Source organism: Homo sapiens, chromosome 2, assembly GCF_000001405.40.
Source record: "Homo sapiens chromosome 2, GRCh38.p14 Primary Assembly".
NCBI classification, from domain to species: Eukaryota; Metazoa; Chordata; class Mammalia; order Primates; family Hominidae; genus Homo; species Homo sapiens.
In genome coordinates, this window is record NC_000002.12 from 6,457,162 (window position 1) to 6,482,119 (window position 24,958).

The 24,958-nt window shown below is 39.7% G+C and overlaps 3 annotated features.

Moving 5' to 3' along the window:
- Positions 1,472 to 1,972: an enhancer, noted in NCBI's record as "H3K4me1 hESC enhancer chr2:6598765-6599265 (GRCh37/hg19 assembly coordinates)". NCBI's record gives its function as "activates a minimal SCP1, AML or CMV promoter by ChIP-STARR-seq in primed H9 embryonic stem cells {active_cell/tissue: H9 hESC(primed)}" and the evidence as "EXISTENCE:reporter gene assay evidence [ECO:0000049][PMID:30033119]".
- Positions 18,243 to 18,332: an enhancer, noted in NCBI's record as "active region_15244". NCBI's record gives its function as "activates an Ori minimal core promoter by ATAC-STARR-seq in GM12878 lymphoblastoid cells {active_cell/tissue: GM12878}" and the evidence as "EXISTENCE:reporter gene assay evidence [ECO:0000049][PMID:35858748]".
- Positions 19,942 to 20,111: an enhancer, noted in NCBI's record as "experimental_58754 CRE fragment used in MPRA reporter constructs". NCBI's record gives its function as "activates a minimal promoter by MPRAs in K562 erythroleukemia cells, with activity observed for both the introgressed and non-introgressed 2:6617320 variant alleles {active_cell/tissue: K562}" and the evidence as "EXISTENCE:reporter gene assay evidence [ECO:0000049][PMID:34662402]".

Below are 24,958 nucleotides of genomic sequence, written 5' to 3' on the forward strand. Positions count from 1 at the left end.
ACAGAAGGACTAAATAAGAGCCAGCCTCTCACAACATAACACCTAGCAGGTCAAGGTTTCAGTTGAAAAATCACAGGTCCTACCAAGTACTTGGAAGTTCTCAGACACAATGAGAAAAAAAAATCATAGATTAAAAAAGAACAACAACGACAACAACAAAAAACACCAACGTGGCAACGTGGCAATAATTTTAAAATTATCTGACAAAGCTTTTTATGCAGCCATCATGAAAATAGTGAACTATTTACAAACATGCTTGAAATAAATGAAAAAATAATTTAGTCTCAGTAAGAAAAAGTCTCGGCAAAGAAATTGAAGACATAAAGAAGAACCAAATGAAAATTTTAAAAGTTTTTACTTTTCAATTTTCAACACAATAACTGAGATTAAAAAGAACCAGTCAATTGTCTCAACAGTGGAATGAAGGAGACAGAAAAAATAAGCAGTGGACTGGAAGACAGAACAATAAAAATAACCCAACCAACCTGAAAAGCAGAGAAAAAGTAGACAGAGTAAAGAAACAGAGCTTCAGTGTATTAGTCCATCCTCATACTGCCTAAAAAACCCGAGACTAGGTAATTTATAAAGAAAAGAGGTTTAACAGGCTCACAGTTCTGCAGGCTGCACAGTTAGTATGACAGCTTCTGGGGAGGCCTTAGGAAACTTTCAATCATGGCAGAAGGTGAAAGTGAAGTAGGCATATCTTACACGACTGTAACAAGAACAAGGCGGGCAGGTAGGTGCTGCACACTTTTCAATAACCAAGAACAGCACCAAAGGGGATGGTGTGAAACCACTCATGTGAAATTTCCCCTGTCATCTGATCATCTCCCACCAGGCGCCACCTCCAACTTTGGGGATTACCATTCGACATGAGATTTGGGTGGGAACACGATCCAAACCACCTCAGTCAGATTATGGAACAAAAGATCTAATACTAGTGTCCAAAAAGAGAAGAGAAAGAGGGAAGAGCCAGAGAGCAAGAGACATAAACCTACAGATTTAAGAAGTTTAGCAAACCACAACTTAATGGTGATTTAAAAAATCTTCAAAAAGGAGATGTGGAGCCACCATCAATCAATGCAACCTTTCCAGGATAGGGTGGCTGTGTGTTAGCCCCAAACCAGGGGCCCTGCCTGGTGAGATACAGTGGGGCAGGTGGGTCACGGGGAAGACAGACCGGCCTCTTCTCTTCAGGGAAACTACAGCTTGCTGGAGGTGTGGTTAATGCTCTCAGGGTCTTTGCTCCTTCCCCAGCCTTGAGGCCAGCAAGGGCAACACTGCTGCAGTGTCAGTGGCAGAGGGCCTTTCAGTGGCCTCTGGGAGGCCACCTCAGAGAAACGCAGAGCCTCTGCTACCGGGAATGTTCGGCCAGGGGCTGGGAACACTGTCTGCTGGCCTTAGCTGGGGGCTCTTCCTGGTGAAGAGCAGGGGTGGAGGGCTCACGGGGAGGAGAGACTGGGCTCTCCCTGTGGTGACTGTGGCGTGCCAGAGCAGAACCCTAGGGCCCTTTGTTTCTGCCCCAGACCAAGAGTAGCAGCAGCAGGACCTCTACTGTGGCTGTGGCAGAAGAACCATCGGTTGCCTCTGGGAGCCCCTCTCCAGTGAAACTCAGAGCTCCAGTGAAACTCCAGTGGGTGTGCTCAGCTGGGAGGCGGGCGGCTCATCTGCGGTCCTGAGGTGGGGGGCCCGCCTGCTGAAGAATGGCGGGGTGTGGGGCCTCACAGGGAAGAGAACTTGGGCTCATCTCTGTATTGGGTTGGAGTGTGCTGGAGGTGCCAGCCCAGCGACCAGGCTCTTTGTCCTTCCCCAGCCTGAGGGTGGTTGGGGCGGCACCACTGCTGCTGCAATGACGGAGGGGATGTGGGCTGCTTCTGGGATTTCCTCCGTAGAGAAATACAGAGCCACCTCCACCTGAGGTCTTCAGGCAGAGGCACGAGTCGCTGGTCGGGAGGCCCCGCCCAGTGAGGGACACTGGGAACTGGGATCCACTTGGAGAACAGTCTGGCAGGTTTTCCGTGGGGCAGGTGTGCTGGGGTCCATGCCAGTCGCTAGTCACCGTGCATCCTCCACAGCCTGAGGGCAAGAGTGGCGAGGGCTGGAGGACAGCCAAAATAGGGGCCTGCCTCTCCCTCGGCGAGCTCCGTCCCAGGGAGGTACAGAGGTGCTGCTAGCCCGAGAGCCCCGGTGGGGAGTGGCTGGAGTTCCAGGCCATTGGGCCTTACCCTGTGAGGTACAGTGGAGGCAAGGCTGGCAGTCAGTCGTTGCTCAGCCTCCTGGATTCGGCCCCTTTCCTGGGGGTGTGCAAGGGAGGCTAACCTTCCCTGCTGCAGCCACTAATGCCGGGATGCCCAGGGACTCAAGGCTCTCAGGACGGCACATGTGCCTGAGTGGCAGCTCTGCCCATACTCCACGGAGCTCTGCACCCTGAAGGTCCTGGTGGGATGGGCTCACAGGGGGATCTCCTGAGCCTAGGGTTGCAAGGGTCCATGGCACGCACGTGGGTCCCCGAGGACTCTTTCAACTCTCATTCACCAGGGGTGGGGGAGCCTCCCCTGGCTGCGGGCCACTCCTGGGCAGTCATCCTGTCTTGCTCCTCTCCGTTCTCTGTGGGTTCCGTTCTCTCCTTGATGAATCCCAGAGTGTCCGCCTGGATCTTCCAGCTGAAGGTCTAGTATGTACTCGCCATGTTTTCTTCTCTCAGTGAGAATGGCACACACTAGGGGCCTCTAATCAGCCATCTTGGCAACTCCCTTCAACCCATTCTTTTTTTTTTTTTTACCCCGAGTATTTTCTATATACAATTGGTTAAATTCATGTATGTAAAACCCACAGATATGAAAGGATGACTGTATATATATAACGTCCCGAGTTTTTATTTGTTCTTAGTGGGAGGAATAGGCATTTGCCTACTCCATTTACTCCATTCATAAATTTGGGAATGCTTTCTATAGCAAGTAAGAGATTTTTTAAGCCAAATATGCTCCAAATATTTAGAAAACTCTAAACGAGATCATAAGCAAATAAATTTAGATCCTGATTTACAAAATAATATGGTACCCAAGAACATAAAGATGCAACTAAGTCTGTCTTTGTTAATTGCTTCCTTCTTAAGACCTAAGGTTTGAATTACTTAAAATGTGCATTGAAATTTTTATAACACTCCTCATTGTAGATTCTAGCGATTCAATCCAAGACATCATTCAATTGCTAGTCTCCTTCATAAGCAAATTGCATTTTGAAGAAATATCAAGCCAGTTACAGAAGGAATGAGATAACCTACAGTCTACAATAGTCCCTGGATTAGTGTTTATTTTCCTGCTTTTTTGAAAGAAAGTTCACAGATTTAGAGAGATTATCCATGATATTGTGGCTATGTACATAATTGTATGTATGTGTTCATGCTGTCTTGCAAATATTATAGAACCATTTAGCAAACATTTCATGTCAGTCTGTTACTTTTATTGTCTGGTGATGGGTTTATTTATAGTTACTTGTGTTTTATATCATATTCAATCTATTAATATTACAAAATTGAAAACTTTTTTCAAGCTCGTAAGTTTGGCACAAATCGATCATAATTCTATTTGTAGAATTAGTAATTTTATTTAAAATTAGTAAATTTCCTTTTCCTTGTTTTGGACCAATGTTTTGTTAACAGAAGCTGCACAGATTGCATTCCTTTTAACAATCAGTTCCTTTAATAAATTCATCTAAACCCATCATCAATCTAAAATCAGCACTCATAAACGTAGCATATATAGCTTTTCCTCTTAGCACTTAAAGTGCCTGGTAGAGTAGATGTAAAACCCCAAAGTCTTCCAGGCATTTTCAACAACTCCTATAAATCAAATTTTAAAAGCAAACAAACAAAACACATAATATTAAAAAAGAGAATCTATAAAATATTGTAAGTATATTTTTCTTGTAAATCTTGAAATCATGACATCCCATTAAACATAAGTACTTACACACAAAAATTAATTATATTCACTGTGCATTTGATTTACTTCATTATCTTTGTTTTAACCTGTCTTCCTGAGTTGAAAGTCATTTATTCATTAAAGGGATTGAACAATGATAGTTGCTACTTGATTGAGGTCTTATGCCAGGATGTGATTTGATGGTACCTTACTTACTTCCATGATGATTTTCTCAAGATAAATGAACATAATGGGCCCTTTGTATATTTCTGTTGACAAATGACTCTTAAATCCACACTCCACAATAGAGTAATGATTTCAAAGTGTTGAGACCATCAAACTTCCATATAATTCTTTTAAGATTAACAACACAAAGACACATTTTGACAACACTTTTGAAGAAGTATCCCAATAAGAATACAAATAAATCTAGGAGGATGAAGCCAGATGTTTAAAAAAAGTGTGCTCAAATAACTTAGTAAAGATTACAGTTGTGTATAAAAGAAAGAAACAAATTTTAAAAGCCTATAACTTTCTAAAACAAAAATTTTAGACCATATTAATATTAGAAGGTAAGACAGTGCTTAGGGCATGTTGTGAGCAGGATGACATATACAAAATTGTGTACACAAGGGATATTGTGTCTTAGGATATTAGGAACATCAGTGAAAGTAAACTGAATATATAACATTTAAACTAGAACCATAAGATTTTATGATTCAAAAGAAAGTAAGGAAAGAAAAAGAATTTAAAAGTGCAAAAAATTAGTAAATTAAGTGTCAGTAATAAGTAGTAGTATAACTAATTACAATATAGTAGCCTGAATCTGTCAACTAAAAGCTGATTTATTTTTAGATTTTATAACAATTAAAGGATCCAGTGATATATTTTATTTAAAAAAAAACCCGCTTAAAATGATTTAGAAAGTTTGGCAAAATGCATATTAAATGAGGTACAGAAAAAGATTAATCAAAGCTAAGCAGAAATAGCAAAATCAAAGTTTACGAAATACAGTTCAAGGCAGAAAATGTATCAGTGACAACTAGGGGCATTATATATTGGCTAAAAAAAAAGAAGTTATAGCTGAAAAATGTTCTTGCTTCTAACAATGCTGACTTAAATGTTATAGAGCGACAACTAACAGAAATTCATTGAGAAATAAATACATCTAAAGTTTTATTTAAAATTTAATATATGCTCTTCACAAATGGATCCGGGAGACAAATAATGAGAGATAAACATATCTAAATAATCGGGTTTAAAATTTAAAACAATTAGATGCTTTATAAATTTAAAAAGTCAATAACAGAGACAGTGCACTATGGCTATGGAGATGAATGTTCAAGCAGACATAAGGAGAAAGAGAAAAGAATGTAGAGATGGCAGCAATCTCATTTCTTTGCACGCTCATGCCCATCGCTCACTCCATCTTTAGATGAAATGGGGCTAGCAAGCACAGACACACAGACAGCAGCCAAGACAAGGGGTCCAGAATTAGCTGAAGACCTGAAGGCCAACTAACTCTCTTTGCAGTTTGCTCTGACTGACTTTTTGGAATAAAATAAACTTTCTAGACTTTTGCCCCCACCATCCTTCTGTCCACATTTAGAGTAACAGGATTACCTTCTCTAGACCTAATCTCCCCACACCCTACAAGGTTCTGCCCATCTGCCCTCTACAGGGTATAGAAACTCCAGCTCAGAACTCTGAGTATCAAGACCTAACAGCTGCTGATCAGACTTGAACATAGAAAATCAACTTCAGTAACTAGAGTGTGTTGCTGAAACCAATCCCAGGTTCACATGTGGATTTCCAGATGTCTCTTATTCGGCTGCTGCTCTAGACCCAGGTTTGGGCGACGATGATCCTCATCATGGGCACTTTTGATTTGTGTCTAGGACTCTGACACTACATGCAACCATGAGCTATGGAATCAAACACATAGGAACTGATATTTTGCTTTATAAACTAACAGTTTTGTGATTCTAAGTTACTTTACCATAAGGGGCTTGGAATCAAAACATCTACGTGAAAGTGTTTCTAAAGCTGTTGGCATATCATAGCTGCTCAATAAAGCTAAATAAACACCTGTCCCACCTGTGCATGGCCCTTCATGTCTTGTTGCAATGCTAACACCACCTGCTGGAAAGTCCATGCCTGCTTTTGACAATCTGATGTGAAACTTGGCCTGTCCTGTCTTCTCTGCCTCCACTGCCGAATTCCCTAGCTTCCTTCTGTCACTGAAGGTGAGCTTTCCTCTGCAGCTGCTCTCTCTGACCTATGCCCCCTCTGCTCTCCTTTGTCTACCAGTCTGTGTCCCAAAGTAAATATAAGATCTTTCCTTGGATCAGTCCCAAGTATCGTAAGGCTATTGGTTTTTACTTTGTTTTTGTTTTCCTTTTCTCCAAAACTCTTGCAGCTGTTTCAGAGTATTCCATCTTGTCTGTATTGGCACACTCACCAACTTCTCTGTCAATTTGGAATTGAATTGTACTGTGGTTTTCCAAAGTATTGGGACATATTTCCCGCAGTTGAAAGTGTTTATTAGTAGTGGTCTTTTGGGATAATCATGTACAATTTGGCATATACACATATTCTAGATTCTATTACTGGCACTAGTTTCTCACACCTTCCTGTATCTATGTCATTTGATGTGAATGTTGCTTTCCTCCCATGAGAGTGGAAAATGTTCCCCCACCTTTTGATTTGGGCTTTGTCTGATGACTTGCTTTGATCAGCAGAATGAGAAGAAAATGATAAGGAGTCATTTCCAAGCTGAGACTTTGAGAAGGCTTATGTGTTTCCACTTGACCTCTCATACTTCTGTCATTACTATGAGATGAACACACGGTCTGGTCTGCTCATCCCAGGAGGATGATTAAAATTCCCTGGAAGAGCACTACCTTGGCAGAGGTGCCCAGTCACATTTGTCCCAAATCAGCCATCTTCCAGCCAATGCAACAAACCACAAGCAATATTATTACATGAGGCGATCTTCTGCCACTTGGTTTTAGGATGGCTAAACTTTTGCTATAGAACAGCAAAAGTTAACCAAGAAAGAGAGAAGATTATAGATCAAGTGTCAACTACACAGGAATTTTTTACGTTTTGCATTTATTATTGTTGACACTTATTTTGAAGATATTATACATTTTGCAAATAAGATTGGGTTTGGTAGGTCAATAGAAAACCATTAGATTCTGATGGTCCTTTATAACTAAAAGGATTTTCCTAAATAGCCAAGTCTTTCTGTGATTCTCACCCTTCTTTTCTATCCTCTTTTCTTTCCACTTGTATCTTTAATCAATTTTGTTTCATAAACACATCGAGTGAATATCAGCTGGGGATGTGTCTTCAGAACAGAATGAGTTATCGAAGGGCCCTCCTAGAAAACTGATGTTTTCCAAAATGCCTACCTGATTGAAGAGCTGAAAGGAGATGGGTGAGTCTGACATTCACTGCCTATCTCTGCAGAATGTGCCTGTGATTGTGGAACAATAAGAAAAATTGCTAAATCACAACTTTATTCAGTGTGCAGTTTTTTTCCCTAAGGTTACAGTGACATCCAGGTTTCTGTATTTTATGAGAATACATAGGACACATTCAAAGTGAATTCTAAATGACCAAAAGCTACTTGCAGAAGAATTCAATTTATTACAAGATTCGCCACTTCAAAGTCAGTTCTATCCCTTTTATTAGACAGAGGCTGCAGAAGGAATCATTTTCTGTGGATTGCAGTAAGTTCATATACTGCATACTCACAGAGTTGCAATTACTAAGATGCAGAGTCTGAAATAATCACCACTAGAACCACAGTTTGCTTTCCTCTAGGTATCTGACATGATCTCAAAATTGGGGTTTTCTTTCATTTTAAGTTTACAAACCCAAATTTGTAGCTAGTCCCCTCATTCATCAAAACTAAACTCTAATATACACTTTCTTGTATCTGTATACTATATTACTTTCTACTTTTATGTACCCTACTTATTTTGTAGCCAGTTTCTATAACAATTCTGACCTGCAGCACTATAACAAACTTGCCCTTGTTATTTAAACCGTGGCATCCGTGTTGTATGGTTTAGCAGAACCTAGCTGGAAGTCCTTGATGATCAAACCACTTCCCTACAAGGTCCCTGCCACATCCTGAACACAGGCTTTACTGCAAACCAGAGGGCATAAAAGAAAGATAGAAAATCCAGAATTGAACAGGAAAACTCTGAATTGATTAAAATTACCTGGAGATGCTTGTTAAATTCTAGGCATCTGAGTAAAATGTCTATTGTGATGTACATTCAATTTAGTTATAGCTAATCTTTTTGCAAATTGGCCTTGGTACTTGAGAACTCTATAACCACTAAACTCATAATTCCAATGACAGTATCCTGGAATCGATGCTATTAAATAGGAATGCACTTGTTGTTAAAGCAGCATACAAGGGAGGAGAAGGCAACAACATCAGGGAAGATTTCTTTAGCTTTGTCTTAAAAAAATGAGAGGAATTATTCAAGCGGAGATGCAAGCAGAGAAGAGTCCAAGCAGGGCACACAGCATGAAGATACGTAAAGAAGAATGAAAGTCACATATTCTGGTGGTAAGTAGTAACTTTGATAGATCTGAACAGCAAATTTTCCCTTTCAATTTCCTCCTATTTCATCCCTTTATCCTTACTATGGGAGGAGCTGGAACAAGAACATCTCTGACAATGTATTGATAATGCATCTTTAAAGACAATGAAAGTAATATCATCCCGGGAAATCTAAGCCTTATGTTTTCAGAGCAGTATCTAACATGCCTGTAAACACAAAACGAGTTTCACTGTATTCTCCCTTTTTATAATGATGGAAAAACAAAGGACAAATAAATATCATAGAATGATTCTCAAGTTTATTTTGTATCAGGAGCACTTTGTAGTCTAAAAATGTTATTGGGGACCCCCAAGGAGATTTTGCTTATGTGGGTAATGTCTGTCAATATTTATCAAATTACAAATTAAACATATTACAAAACTTTTAAAAATGTTTATTAACTTAAAAATCAATAATATACCTATTATTGATAAATATAAATAATATATTTAATTAAAAATAAATGTCTTTCAAATATTAAAATATGGTGAAAAGATTGGCATTTTTATCATTTTACAGGTATCTGTAATGTCTAGCTTTATAAAATAGTATTGGATTCTCATACATGCATTTATTTTCTTGTCATGGGATATTTTGGTTCAAGTATAAAGGAAATCCAGACTCACACATTTACAAAGGAAGAAGCATTTTAATAGTATTTTCAGATGTAGATAGATATTCTTCTTTAAAACCACACCCATATTTTATACACCTATATTTTACAAAGAATAGTTTCTTAATGGTTATTTGCAATGTAGAATCTGAAACCATATTAATAAACTTTTCATACTTTGTTACATTAAGATTTGCTTATTTTGAAGTTTGAATAGATCTTTGCCCATGTTTGATTTTGTAATCATCTTTGCCCATATTTGATTTTGTGGTCTCATGTACTAGGTATTTGGAAAATACTGGTTTGTACAGATCTTCCAAGTGTTAGCTTAGGTTATTATGCAATGTCGAGGAGCACATGCATTAATGGCACCATCAATTTCATCAGAAGTCTTTAAATATCGGGAAGCTGTCAAGCTCGTGGTGGCAGATTCAAGCTGTAATGCAGAATCCTAATTTCTACTTCGGAGCTCAAATTCTATTATCTTTGACAAATATTGCAATTTGTTGTCCTTAAAATGACAGTTTCACTCAATTTATTTTTGGGAAAATTTCTCCCAAATGCTTCTGGTTTATTATTATTACTTCAAACTGTTTTGGGGGAACAGGGATACTGCTTCTGTTTTAATTTCTGTTTTAATAATCCATACTTTTCTATTGTCAGTTGCTTTCTAAAGTAAAAATTGTGTTCCATATAAAATATAGATAGTTTAGCTTGTAACTCAAATCATTGCCTAAATATTTTTCCTTGAGACAGCTATCATGTTTTAGTATGCAGCAGAAGTGCTTTATATAAACTTTCCATTCCATTACACAGAATGTTAAAAATATATGGTCATAGGGTCAACACTTATTAAGATGAATAATTATAGCTTTTCATCAAAGACATTCTTGATAAAACTGGTTCTTTTTTTTCTGTGAATGTGTAGTAGTATAGAATTCAATAACATTAGTATAGTTTGTTCTTACTGTGCAAAGGCACCAGCAATTTGCCCACTACTGTTTTTGTACAACCAGTGCAAATATCAGCATAGAGAAAAAGAAAAGTAATTACTTCGTGGTATTTTGAAATTAATTTTGATCTGATGAATCTCCTGCAGGTGTCTTTGGTTTCCCTAGTGGTCTGTGGACAACATTTTGAGAACTTTTTGTGTAAGGAACATCAGTAACAAAGATTCTGGAGTCAGTTGATGTACTGATAGGTGAAAAATGCATCTCACCAGGTATGAGTTTATTTAATCATGGCTTTCTAGAGGTTAAGACTCACCATTTTTGCCTTATCCAGTGGATCCCAACCTGAGCTATGTATCTGCATCTCTTCAGAAACCTTTAGGGTAAGAAAGAGGATATAGAGAGTCGGGACTCTCCTGCTGATTCAAATTTAAAAACTGCTGTGTAGTATTAAAATGCACATTTTTGTCATGCCACTAGTGATGCTGTTCAGCCTGATCATGAGATATATTTGGAAACCCCTGGATCAATGTGGCCATGAGAAACTCAATGATATGTTATTCCGGGGGTATTCATGGGTTTGACTAATATATCCAAGAAGCAAGGTTGGCTCCTTCCTTGTTTCTAGTGGCCTTTAAAACTACAGTTACCAGAGAATCATGACAGATAATTAATTTTAGACTTAATCTGTAGTTATCAGAATTTTCAAGTGGAAAGATTAAGGAGAAGCGGATTTTTTTTTTTTTTTCTGGCTAGCATGGTTCAAATTTCCAGTTAGATTCTAACACACTTTTAAGGCTTTTGAACCATATGGTTTTGAATATTTTTATGTTTTTATATGCTTTGCAAGGCACTTCTAAATATTAATAGGGGTACAAATATTTGAATATAATAAGAGGAATAGCCATGTCACATACTGGAAAATGAGTGACAGATCATAATAACATTAATTAAGATAATTAAGGAAAGAGTGAAGTCCAAAGGAAAAAGATGAGTTCCTCTGAGCAAAAGCCTATTTTTAAAACTATAAAACCAGGAAATGTAAGAGCTAAAAAACAAAGTTATCATGGCTGCTTATCTACACACTCAAGTTTCCAAGGGATACCATGGTAATGACATGGGACACCAAGTGTGTGCTGGGAGGAGTCTGGCCTTCAGATAGCAGTGGGGCATTCATGCTTCTTTTTCCTCACATGTCCAGGGAGGATAAGAGAAGTCAGAATAGCTGGAAACGTTAAAGAAAACCATGGATATACAGCAATGAGCCTCACCTGCAGTGAACCTTGGATATGTTTCAGCTGCTATTAAAGTAGCATGATTGTGACCACTATTAGTCTGTCTCCCCCACATAATTGTGAGCTTTCTATGTTGAGGTACTTATCTAATTTGTCTTTTCATCTTAGTGGCTGGCAAGCAAAAGGTTCCCAATAAAGATTTATTCCATTGATTGAATAAATTAAAGTTTTACAAACTTGAAAAAAATTTTGAGTAATTTCTTTGAAAGGACAGAGGCCAAGAAAGGCCCCAGTGTAGAGAGCGTCCCTTATGTAAATGATAAAAACCTAAGCCATATCTAAGAGGGAAGAAAAAAACAACACAGCATTCTCTAAAGTGACCCACTTTCTACTTTTGTGATTTATGTGATTTATGTTCTCTTTTTTCTTAATTAAAAAAAAATTCTGAACATCTTTAACCTGACTAGCCCTGAGAACCAGGATAGAGAATTCATGAATACCCCTCTCCAGAATCTGGGGACTTTTTGAATGTTTGGTGGAATTCACAAGTGAAGTCATCCTTGGGTTTTCCTTTGTGAGGAATTCTTATTTACTAACTCAGCCTCTTTACTTGACATAGTTCTATTTAGATTTTCTATTTCTTGAGTCAGTTTTGGAAGTTTGTGTCTCTCTAGGAATTTGTATATTTTATCTAAGATACATAATTTGTTGGCATACAGTTATTCACAGAATTTTTTTTTTCTGGAGGGTTGACTTTACTAATTTAAATCTCTTTTTTCTTAGTCAATCTAGCTGAAACTTTGCCAATTTTTCTGATGTTTTCAAAAAACCAATGTTTGGTTTTGTTCATTTTTTAATTGTTTATTCTTAATATCATTAAGATCTTCCCTAATCTCTATTGTTTCCTTCTTTCTGCTTGTCTTAGGTTTAATTTGCTCTTCTTTTTCCAGTGTCTTAGGGTGGAATGTTAAATTATTGATTTGTGATCTTTCTCCTTTTTTGTAATAAGTAGTTACATCTTATCTTAGTCCATTTGTGTTGTTGTAAAGATATCCCTGAGGCTGGGTAATTTATATATAAAAAAAGAGGTTTATTTTGGCTCACAGTTCTGCAGGCTATACAGCAAGCATGGTGTTGGCATCTGCTTTTGGTGAAAGACTCAAGGAACTTACAATTATGGCAGAAGATGAAGGGGGAGCAGCTGCACCAGGCTAAAGAGGGAGCAAGAGAGAAATTAAGAGGTGCAGATTCTTTTAAACTACCAGATCCTGGGTGAGCTCATTACCACAGGGAGGGCACCAAGCCATTCATCAGGAATCAGCCCTTATGACCCAAAGACCTCCCACCAGGACCCACCTCCAACTATGGGGATCACATTTCAACATGGATTTGGAGGGAACAAACATCTGAACTATATCACAGCTAAACATTTTTCTCTTAAGTGATGTTTTAGCTGTACCCAGTGAGTTTTGGCACATTATGTTTTCATTGTCTTTTGTTCCAAAATATTTTCTAATTTTTCTCGTTTTCTGACACATTTTTTAGAAGAGTCTAATTTCCATATATTTGAAACTTTTTTCAAAATTTCCTCTACTAATTTCTAAATTTATTTCATTAAAATTGGAGAGCATATCTCTTATTATTTTAATGTTTTTAAATATATTGAGGCTTTTTTGTGAGCTAGTATATAGTGTAGCCTCAATAACTTTCCACGTGCTCCTGGAAAGAATGTATATTCTGTTTTTTTAGGGTGAAGTGTTCTAAAGACGTCTATTAGATATGCTTAGTTTTAGTTTGTTTAAGTCTTTGATGTCCTTGTTAATCTTATGTCTAGTTTTTACCTTCCTTTTCTGAAAGTGGTCTATTGAAGTCTCCAACTATAATTGCTGAATTGTCTACCTCTCTCTTTAATTCTGCTTCTCTCTGAGTGGCATTCCTGCTTTACAAGAGCAGGATGCTGGATGCAGGCTGCTGCCTCTGGTCCTCTCTGCTTGCCTTTCTTAGCTGCTATCCCAGTAATCCTAGCCACCCAAGCCAGGGTAGGGCATGTGCTCTTTGAGTAGGGGCTGGGCAGAAGAGACCCCTGACCTCTCAGCAGCACAGGCCAGGAATTTAGCCTCCACAACACGGAACTAGACTGGGACTAGGAATACAAGCTGCCTGGCCTTTTTGGCCTGAGAGGGGAAAGGAGGGAGTCTGATCTTTGTGTTCTCACTCACCTCAAGTAGCACTTCTGTCACACTGAGCTGGCAGTGCAGGGAGGGAGCAGGATGTGGGACATGGTTCAAATGCCAGAGACTTTCACAGATCTTACTGAGATTTAGTAGATTTTACTGAAAAAAAAAAAAAAAACAGAAACAAAAACATTTCTTCCTTTGCTACATGCCCTTAGGACAATTTTCTAAGATATTAAAGTGCTTTCTTAAAAAAATAAGTTTTGTAAGTTATGTGTATTCCATTGGATTTGGGTCCACAGAGGGAGTTTCTCCTGCTGCCATGCAATGAATTGTCCTTCTGACATGTGTCTTTCATGATTTAATATGTTAAAACAAATAAGCAGGAAGTATCGTTCCTGTTTCTTTTTCCTCTTCCTTTTCACTAGGAGTAAATGAAAAAGAGAGAAAGAATAATTACTAATATTACTAGTCATAGTGATGAGTAGCATATTGATATTGTGGACAGGAATTGTGCAAATGACTCTATGTTAATCTCATGATTTCTAATTCCTGTGCATGGAGGCATGTTGTCTCATGCCTTCGGGTGTTTATTGGGATACCAGTCTCTCCAGTATTATTTTGAAGATCTTCACCATTCTTATTTTATAGCCATTTCCAGATTGCTTTCTTATTTCTATTTTCAGAGAGTAAATTCTCCCCTTTGGCAGTATTTTTTCCTCTTGTCAGCTTTCTGTGTGCACTTTTTGTTTAAAAGAATATGTTGACTAGTCCTTTCTCTTTCTCATTCCCATCTCAACTTTCCCCATGAAGTCTCAAGGCTTGTGGTTGTTTTCCAGTTTAGATTTACATTAATGTGCAGTTCGGGGCAGCCATCTGCAAACAGTATTTCAGTTCAGGCACCTGAGTGAGGGTGTGGCTTAGCCTGGTTGCAGTGAATGTGGCTCTTCCCGCCAAGCCCAGAGCTCAGTAACAGCCACACTGGTGGTAACAACTATTTCCAGCCTTGGTTTAGAAATGAGAAAACTCATACACCACTCATTAGACCAGTGAGCTGAATATAGGCGCAATTCATCTGAAAGACCCGTAGATCCACTTTAGTTGAATTCCTGGCCACCATTGACTGGTTCTTGTTTCTACATTCAGGGCCACATAACTGCAGCACTTCAGAGCTAGCTTATCAGGGGTGCCCATTCTTTTCCAAGTTAGGAAGATGTGTATTACTTTATTGTTGTTTTTGTATACGTATGAGTGCATATCCATATATAATAACATATTTTGTTAATAATTGCTTTATGTTTTAGGTAGGATAGGGCAAACTTGCATAGGAATTTATATGTCATCTTGAATGTAATTTTTCTAATCACTTTATTATTTTCTCTAACGTTTATTAAAATCATTTTGAAATAGGTACTAATCTTCCCCTTTTGTAATCAGGTAAAATGAGTCTAGAATAGATTATGTAACTTTTGTGGAGTTTTAATGCTATTTTTGCTAAAACCACTTTTTGGCTCAGTAGGTTTTAAACAAATACACAGGTGTTTTCCATTTCACAATACTAGGGAGAAATCTAAAAATAATCCTTCAAATTATTATATATTTTATCTGGAAAATATTTTTTTAAACCTTTTTCTTTAAACTATACATATAGTAAATATTTTCAGGCCAATATTACAGAATTTGATTTTTCCTATTTAGGTAGAAAGTATGCTACTTCAATCTCATTTTTTATAAGTTGCTTTATTCATAATTTATTTACTTTTATCAGATAATAGGTATAGCCATCTGGCTATAGTTGTCTTCTTAACACCTTATAAAGTAGACTAATACAATTAAGTAATTGTCTATAGCTCAGGGAAGGTTAGTTGTAACTACCGCAGAAAAGTAGAATACTACAAAAAAAGGCACCAGTATTTATAATTGTCAAAGCTGCAGAAGCAGTAATTTAAACAGCATGAGCTGTATCTCACTTGCACAATTTGTGCACCACTGCGTCCCTGCAATTCTGTGATCCACATGGTTTCAGCATTAAGCCCAAATAGAGATGGTAAAGCACTTTAAAGCAGAATCAAACTTATTCTCCTGGAGAATCACCTCAAACTATGTTCTCTTGTTTAATCAAGATATTAAAATCAGGGAGGCACTATGAGCCTATACCTTATGAATTAAAAAATTCTGTGAAGTGGCCGGCTTTGGGATTGCTGACAGGCAGCTGTGATTCGGATGCACAGGAAAGCACCATTTGGCACGATGCTAGAGGAGGCGGCTCACACCAACCGCTAGCTTTGTGGCCGGGAAACCATGGTCTTAAATCCAGACTCTGCCAGTTGTTGATGGCGGACCTAAGATAAGTTAGTGAAGCTTGCTGAGCGTCAGTTTTCTTACCTAAGGAACAGGACAACAGCATCTCCTGTGGTTACCGAGAGGATTAGGATTCATTCCACGTGTAACGTGGCTGGCACTTGTTGGTACTCAATAAATGGTAGCTAGAACACGATGACTACTCTCACCTGGAAGGAGAAGATTTAACCTTCTCTAACCTTGTCCCCAGATATTTTGTGGAAAGATGCAAGGTCTATCTGTCAAATAATTTCAGAGATGTGCAGCTTGTCATTTTCATGACTCCTCTACCACATGAATGGAAGTAAAAAAATGCATCTCATTGCTGTGATTAAAATTCTATTTCAGGGAGCAGGGAAAAATACAAAACTAACCTGAACACCCACACACAAACGGATAAACACATGTTTAACAGCTTATTTACAAGGGACATCCCAGTTGACAATTTTGTGGGTACTCAAGAGTCATTTCCACATTTCTGTAAAAATGACATTTTTTTTTGGTTACTTTAAATGAACCTTTGCATTTCTTGCTTCTGAGGGGATGGCATGTTGTTAGTTATATAGACATCAGCGGAGTGAATGACAATTGCTTTCAGGTAAGTCAAGAAAACAGCCAAGGGAGCTGTCAAAAGATAGCAAGTAGTGCCTTCAATTCCTAAACCCCCGCAGTTGTCCAAGGGAAGCCTGCCTGCAGAAGGACCTGAGCCACCGGCCAGCTCACTGATTCCTGTTCAGCCAGGAATGCCAAATGCACAGTCAGACCAGGCTCCTGTTCTCCAAGAAAGCCCTCCAGGAAACAAAACATTTTGCTAGAATCTTCCAACAGAAAAAAAAAAAAATATATATATATATATATATATGTGTATATATATATATATATATATATATATATATATGTGTGTATATATATATATATATATATATATATATATATATATTCTGCTGAAATTGTTGCCACTTGCCTATTTCCATCCAGGAATTCCTCTGGAAGGGTTTCAAGCTACTAAGAATCACGAAAGACAATGAGAAAATCTGAGTACACTATAGGTTTTCCCTTGCGTCCTGAGACAAGCCATCACGTGCATTGCAGTGTCTTAGCATCAAAACCAAAGAAATATGCTAGTTAGGGAAAAAAAGATAACCATATTATTTTCTTTCCCAGATGTACAAAATCTGGCACTGTGGGGTTTTTTTTTTTTTTTGCCAAAAAATGAAAATTAATTTGGAGATCAAGAGAAAAAAAAATCATCAACACAAGCCCACAAGCCACTTAGAAAGGAAGAATTTGGCCAGGATACAGGTTGTTTCTCCTTTTCCACCGGCTGCTTTCTCAGTTTTTAGAGTGCAATGAGCAAAAAGGATTTTAAATATCATCTAAATAACAACATACCACATGGAACCCCCCATCCTCAACAGATATCACTTTTTGCACAAGCCCTTATTGTCAATCAAATGCTACCATGAAATTCGTCTGAGGAGCAGCAGTTTTACATGCCACATTTTCACACATCGTACCATTTTATGATTACATATCAAAGACATTCACAATGCCAACCAATCTGTCAGCATTTAAATGAGGCATTTGAAAAAAAGAAAAAAAGTCAGACAGCATAAATGTGATGAATGCTGCAGCACTCTGAGCCATGCTCTGAAAGGAATGTGATGTACCTGTGTTCCTTCCTACTGGTCTCCTGCTGTTTCTTTTGGTGAAGCAAGATTAATCCTAAGCATTACTTGTGTGGGGAAGATTACATTTCCTTTGAAGAATATAAACTAGAAATATCTCCCAAATTTAGCCCACACCTCTCCTTTGTTTAATATCTATATCCAAGTCTTGCTCAGGCAAAACTGCAAAGGCAACACATTTCACTTCTAGTGCTGTGTTTCAAAGCAAGTGGCATAGTGTTTAGAGATAATTTTAGAGCCAGACTGACCTGGGTTTCAATATTAGCTGTATATATACTAAATATATGACAAGGCAATTCAGTGGAGCTCTAAGAGCCTCAATTTCCTCTTCTGTCAAATAAAAATCATTATGCCAATCCACAGTATAGACATGTCTAAATTCTCTTACCCTACTGATCTTGGAAAAAAAGTCTTAAACATAAAATCGTGGCATACAGAAGTCTCTTTTTTGGTGCCAACCTACTTCATTTAGATTCATCTTTTCTACTTTTGTCATCATTTTCCACATTTTCAATGTCTTTATTTTACCCTGTTACTGAATTTTATTGTAGCTTCATCAAATCTTTGCAGAAAAGGAAGAATGAGTAATTACAAGAACATGAAATGCCCACAGGTTCTTTATTCTCACAAGGGTATAAAGTACTGATAATGACTCAGTGTGCACTTCCACTGATCATTCAGCCTAAGGACTAAAGCTTTTATGGTGAAACTTCAGGCAAAATTAGAAAATACAAAATCATAATGGACATGTGGGTAGGGGGTGAAGCCAGGAAAGGCATTTGGTTGTTTCCAGTGTCTCTGAAATCCTACCATACGGGGACGTTTGCTCCATCCTACAGTCAGGTCAGCCCTGCCAATATGGGATATTGAAACTACTGAGATTTCATCTGCCCAGTTGAATCAGAACTGAAAGGATCAGTTCAAACCAGATGGACTGGAAAGCTGCAGCAATATCCTCTGAGAGTCTCTGTTTGAATTTAAAGAGCCCTGCACCACCAGGGCGTGGGAGTCCTAGGAGTTCTTAAGAGAGCCTCCAGCTCACCTGCCACCACCAAAAATCTGAGCTGCACTTTGCAAGGGCCTGACAGCACCCCATTAGCTGGCTGGGTCTGGTTGCACAGCCTCTGTGGCTGGACTTACAGCTAGTTTCAGGGCGAGAGTAGGACCTGGGAGATGCAGACAGGATGATGAAAACCCTGGTGACAGCTATGTGAAGTACTTTCCAGGAAACATGAGGCTCAGATATTGAAGAGATTAAGTACAAATATTAAGTTTACTGATCAAAGACAGGCTAAGGGTCATTGAATTTGGACTCTGATGAGGAATCAGACTGTCTGCATACCAGGCACTCGAGGTACATTGGATGGCATGGCTGTCTTAGCCACCATGAGTGACATAATTCTTTGAGTACTGGGGCCAAATGCGTCTGCCCATGATGAGCTGATGTACTGAGTCTAATCAAAGGCAGGCTTCACTGCCTAGTCTCTCTTCCTGGATGCAGGTAGGATGAGGGTGTGGCCCATGAATAGGGTCCTGAAATCTAGAAGTCAGGACAAGCAGAACTAACTTACAACTTTAAGCAACAAGGGGAGAATGCTTTGAAATTCCAGGGACAGGATTAAAGCCCTATGTGTAAGTGCCAGAAGCCAGCATGGGATCACAGGACAGGATTCAGCAAGAAAGGCTTTTCTAGACAAGGCTGGTGATTGCGAGGTGTGGGACTGACAGGCTCAAGGGAGACTACCCCCTGTGCCCTGCAGGCAGAAGAATGGCCTGCAGGAACAGAGAAGAGCCAAAGAAGCCAGGCGCCCACTGCACAGCATCAGAAAGGGGCTCTGTCAGTCCCACCCAGAGGAGGAATTTGTTGGACAAGAATGAGAAAACGCCCAATTCAAAGAGGTTTAGGTAGGCTGGATTGAAGATTCCAGACAGAGAACCCTGCGAGACCAGGCAACGAGAATGGCTCCACCTGAGGAGGAGACTGAGAGAAACTGAGCCACACACGACAGTGCCAAGGATAGAGTGAGAGGAGAAGCGGGGCACATGATGTGAAAGAAGATGGGACAATCTCCCTCTCCCCAGGGGAACCAGGTGGGCCTGGGAGATGCCAAGCCCAGTGGCCCTGGAGAAAGACAGGCAGGGACGAGGAACAGTTGGCACAGTACCTGAGTAATGATGGAGCCAGGGGAGGCATCTGGGGAGTCAGGGGACCTGGAGCAGGTTTCAGGTGCAACAGGAAACAAGAAGAAAGGGGGCACTGGGAGCTAAGTAGAGGAGATTTTGGAGAGAGAATCTTCTACCTGGTATGCAGTGTCAGGCATCCACTCTGAAATGTTTTGGGATCTCCACGGATGGTTTCAGGAAATGAAATGTCCTAATTATGATCAAACAGAGCGCCACTCACCAAAAATACAGATATGTCATTAATTTCTTCTTTTTCACATGGGAGGCCCCCACCACATTGCAAGCCCATGATCACGATCCCATTGTAAATACAAGAAAATATAAGAAGAGAAAGCATGAGAGGCTAGGGCTTTTGCTTAAATAAACACAGCTAGAGAGGAACTGGCCTGGTGCAATGACTGGCACTAATAAGTCCTTAATAAGCATGATGAATTTGACTTCTTTTAGGCTAGATGAAAATTTACCATTAAAGTTTTATATTTTCAGAAAATATGGAACTAATATCCTAAGTTCTGTATTTATGGAAGCATCAAAATAGAGATATTATTTCAAAATGTAATCAATTTTGTGAAAAGAATAGCCAATAAATATATTTGTGGTCCATAAATAAATTTTTTCTAAGTTATCCAAATGCATTCAGTTTTTGTTGCAGATCTTGTTTTCATATATGTCATTATTATAATAAATTTCTAAATCTCCCATTTATTTTAAGAAATATCTTTATATCAGTCTTACTAATGTAAGGATTTGGTGAATTATTTAATTCTAAACTTTTAGGTAATTTGGCAATATAGCCTGTTAATAGTGTATGAATTTAGTAGATTTTTTAGTGTAATGAAATGTAGAAATTAGGAAGACCCTGAGTGACAAATCCAAATCAAGTATCTGGTTTTATACATTACACCATACATCATAATTATAAATTTAAGAGTAATAAATTTTATTACCTGGTTTTAGAGATATCAGCTAAAACTTAGCACTGTTCATTTGGCTGATTTTCCTGTCTTAAATTATTCTCCTAATATTTACCATCTAGAGTATGTACCATTTCAAAGTAGTATTGTATTATTCTGGTTAGTGTTAAAAACTCATTTTCTAATAGCTTTACCGAGTCAAATAAGCTAGATGACACCAATGTCCAAAATCCATATCGTATTATTTCATTCTCATCTCATGTCTGAAAAAAATGATATTGTGGTGCATGTAAGACTCTCACAGCTTTGGGATGCGCATCTCTGACCTTTAAGTCCTGTTTGGGCCAATGTACCAATATCACTGACTCTACACATGCATCCTCAGGACCTTTCAGCCCCTGCACCCATTCAGTGGAGTGCTTATTAACCAATTATTTATTTCTAAAGTAAAGACATAGGTCTCATTTACAAGACCAGGTGAAACTGGTAGGATATTTATCAAGAACAGCTAAACACTGGATAATCAAAACAGTAAGCACAAACCATTACAGAAGTAGGAAGTCCAAATGATGGTACATTTTGCTGAGCCAAAGTTGTGATATGTGGCCAAAACTGAGAAAGGGACTTCAATGTTTGGTGCATTTGGAGCTGTTGTAGCTCAGGGAGTTAAGGGGAATGGATTGAAGCCAATTGTACAAACTGAGCTTGAAACCACCAACACCAGGAGAGCACCTGAGCCTGCAGACATACAGTAGAAATGACAAATGTCTGAACTTTCCTGGGACCAGCCTAGCTTGTAGTAACTTTCTTTCTTTTTTTTTTTTTTTTTGAGATGGATTTTCGCTCTTGTGGCCCAGGCTGCAGTGCAATGGTGCAATCTTGGCTCACTGTAACCTCCACCTCCCAGGTTCAAGTGAGATTCTCCTACCTCAGCCTCCCAGTAGCTGGAATTATAGGTGCCCACCACCACACCCAGCTAATTTTTGTAGTTTTAGTAGTGACGGGGTTTCACCATGCTGGCCAGGCTGGTCTCGAACTCCTGACCTCAAGTGATCCACCCGCCTTGGCCTCCTGAAGTGCTGGGTTTACAGGCATGAGCCACCACATCCGGCCACTTGCAGTAACTTTCTTGATTCCACCTCGTTAGTACGCACTAAGTTGTCAGTCCATGTTTTCCTATTTCTTGCTTGAAAAAATTAACCACTAATTAGGCCGTTTCTGCTGCTTTTGACACCCCCACATGATTTCATTCAATGACAGAGTCCTGTTCATGGAGGAGAAAGACCTTTAACAGAAGTAACCTGCTGGTTTTCCTTCTTCATCATTGACCCAACCAGGTCCCATGGGCACCCCTCACTGCAGAGTGGCCAGGAAAGGAAGACTTCTTTCCCAGAGTCTGTTCACCTCTGTCCCAGGAAAGAGTTTCTATCAGTGGAAAAGAAAGCAAGGGGGAGGGCTATTGGTCAGGGATCTCAAAATGTCTTCTCTGCTCCAGAGAATGGCGTTGGTGTGGGATAGAAATGAATGGAATTTCCTTGGTAGGGAGAGCAACAAGTAGAGAGCAGCCAATTACAAAAAGCAAAATTGTAGCTCAGAGAAAGAGAGAGGCAGAGCTATGGAAGCCAGAGGGGTATATTTTCCTTGGAATGAAACAGTTTTTTATTCCTCTTCCTTTGTACCCTACCTGCATATGCACCAGTAGAGAAATATCACAAACTTACTCTCAACAACCTCATTGTGTCAAAAAACACAATTGTTTTGTTTCTCTATAATTCAGTTGATCTTCCTTGCAAGCTCTCACCATGATGAGTAGCATGAGGAAATTATACGTTAGGCCAATTCTGATTTAAATCTTTGTGTGCTTTGTTTATGTCATTTGATCCTACATCCTTCAATTCAGGCAACCGTGCCTCCTGTTAAGAGCAAGCCCTTCTTCCCAGGCTCCTCTCCTAGAAGGCATCAGGCGCCCACCCCATGCTTCCCTGTGCCCCTGTCCCTGATCCCCTAACAGTCGCCTTCTGATCAAGACTTCTTCCTGCTGTTCTCAACTGTCACCCCATCTTGACTTGGTTTCAGGGGATCGAAAAACTCTTTCTTGTTTCATCTTACACTTATTCATGACCTTGCCTCTTATTTCCTCATAGGAGAGAGCAAAGCTTAATTTTCAATGAAGTTTTATTAAGATCTATGTATAATAAAGTCAGGAGTAAAAAAATAATAATTTGCATTAATTTAATAGATCCAAAATCTTCTCTGAGTTTCTTACTGGATTCTGTTGGGTCTCACAGCATGCCTCACCGATGTTGCAAAGTAGCTCTTAACACGTCACCCCAAAGCCCCAGTCAGTCATGCCTCAAAGTTCAGATAGAACCAATTCCTTATCCCCAGAAATTAAAGGGAGGAAGTTTTCCTCTCAGTCTTCTGCCCACCCCACACACCTTGGAGGTAACCTGACTTCTCAAGCTCTATTTCTGGCCCTAGGTTGAATTTTTTCATGGTAATTGACACAGGAACATCTAGAAGAAAATTATTCTTGTACATAAAGTATAGCTTGGCCTTGCGGGCCCAGTAGGACAACAGTGCCAGTATGAGTCCTCCAAAACGCACTAAGAAAGGCAGAATTACACAGGCATGAGATGCATCAAGAGAAACGCTTGTGAAGGGGCAGGGGAAAGGGGCAGGCTAGGACAGCTTCAGACCTGGACGTGGGTCTGGGATCCAGGAGGGGACAGAGAGAAGGAAGGATTTTGTAGGAAGAGCCTCCAAGCACAGTGGATTACTTAGAAAATCTCAACCAAGCCAGTGTAGGGGTCCCAAACAATTTGCCTGTTAGAGAGATCCTGCCTCTGCCATGCTTGCTCAGTGGCCAGGAGCAGTCTACACAAAGCATGGGGTCGGCTTTCCGGGGGCAGTGACGGAGATCCTCAGTCTGCTCTGCTCACTGCAGTAGGGGAGATGTGAGACCCTGACGGAGATTTGCATGGCCCACCTGCATGGTTACCCTCAGTCCCAATTACTGCAAAATTTCCCTAAGTCTGGATTATTTGGTCTTCAATAGCATCACACATGGGCTGTCAATAGCCTGGTCTAGGTTGACTGTGTCAAATGCAGTTCATTTATTTTTCAGTCTCTCTTCCTTGAAAGTATGTGTTAGTTTCTGTGCAATAATAGAGAAGCTCAATGATCTCAGGTGGCTTCCCAAAATTAATTTTATTTCTGGCTTTAAAAAGCTGACTTTTGTCCAGGTAACTCCTAGATCAGCTGTCTTCCCGGTGGGGGATCAGCGGTCCAGCCGGCTTGCTTGCATCACCTCATTCTCAAGCCATGGTCCGGTTCCTGTGCTGGGGAACAGTGCACAGGAAGGTCCTCAACTCGGAAGGTGTGCACAGCACTTGCACGTAAATTCCCTTCACCAGAACAAGCCAGGTGTCTGGTATGGACATATTAAGATACCATCCACATCTGCTCTCTGAAGGAGATGAGAACTGGTTACAGCTGAGCCTACCCTGTCTCTGGAGTCAAAAACCTGTAAGACCCAGTTTATACCCAGGCTACATTAGTAGGCCTTAGATAGGAATCTTCAGGAAATCAGGCCATACTATGGTTCCAGCTTTTCTAGAAAACATCTAGAAAAGGCCTGTCATGCTGATGCTAGAGGGTTAGTTACCTGGAGGCTCCTCAGAAAACACAACATGCACTTATAATAATCCATGACAAGTACTGCAAAGAAATGTTATTGGAGAGCTAAGAGGAACAAAGATTCCATTCTATATGCATACTATATAAAAATATTTTCATAAATGGGCCCTGCCTTTCATTTTTAAAAAACTAATTGGTAATTATAGAGTCAAAATATTTCTCAGAAGAGTCCTACTAATCATGGTGACGTAAAGTGGAGAAAAGTGTTCGATGTTAGGAAAACCAACCATGTGTCTCCTATTTATAACAAATTTAAAAGCCCCTGAATATATCGCTTTTCATTCCCTGATGTCCCCAAAGAAAGGAGGTGAGAAAACTTACAGCATGCCTTGCGGGTCACTCATTGGCTGTCTGACATCCATGTCCATGGGAAGCTCCTGCCCTGTCCTCAGTGCTTTCCTTGCTGGACAGGCACAGGCCCTGGGGAGCTGGCGTGCAGCCTCCCTCCCACTGCCCACGGCTCCCCTCCCACTGCCCACGGCTCCCCTCCCACTGCCCACAGCTCCTCCACATCAGTGCCTGGTTCCCTGCACCTCCAAGTCATCGTCAGCACCCACAGCACCAATTTCCCCCCTGCTTTACAAGCTGCTATCAGGAATTTAGTACCTTCAGG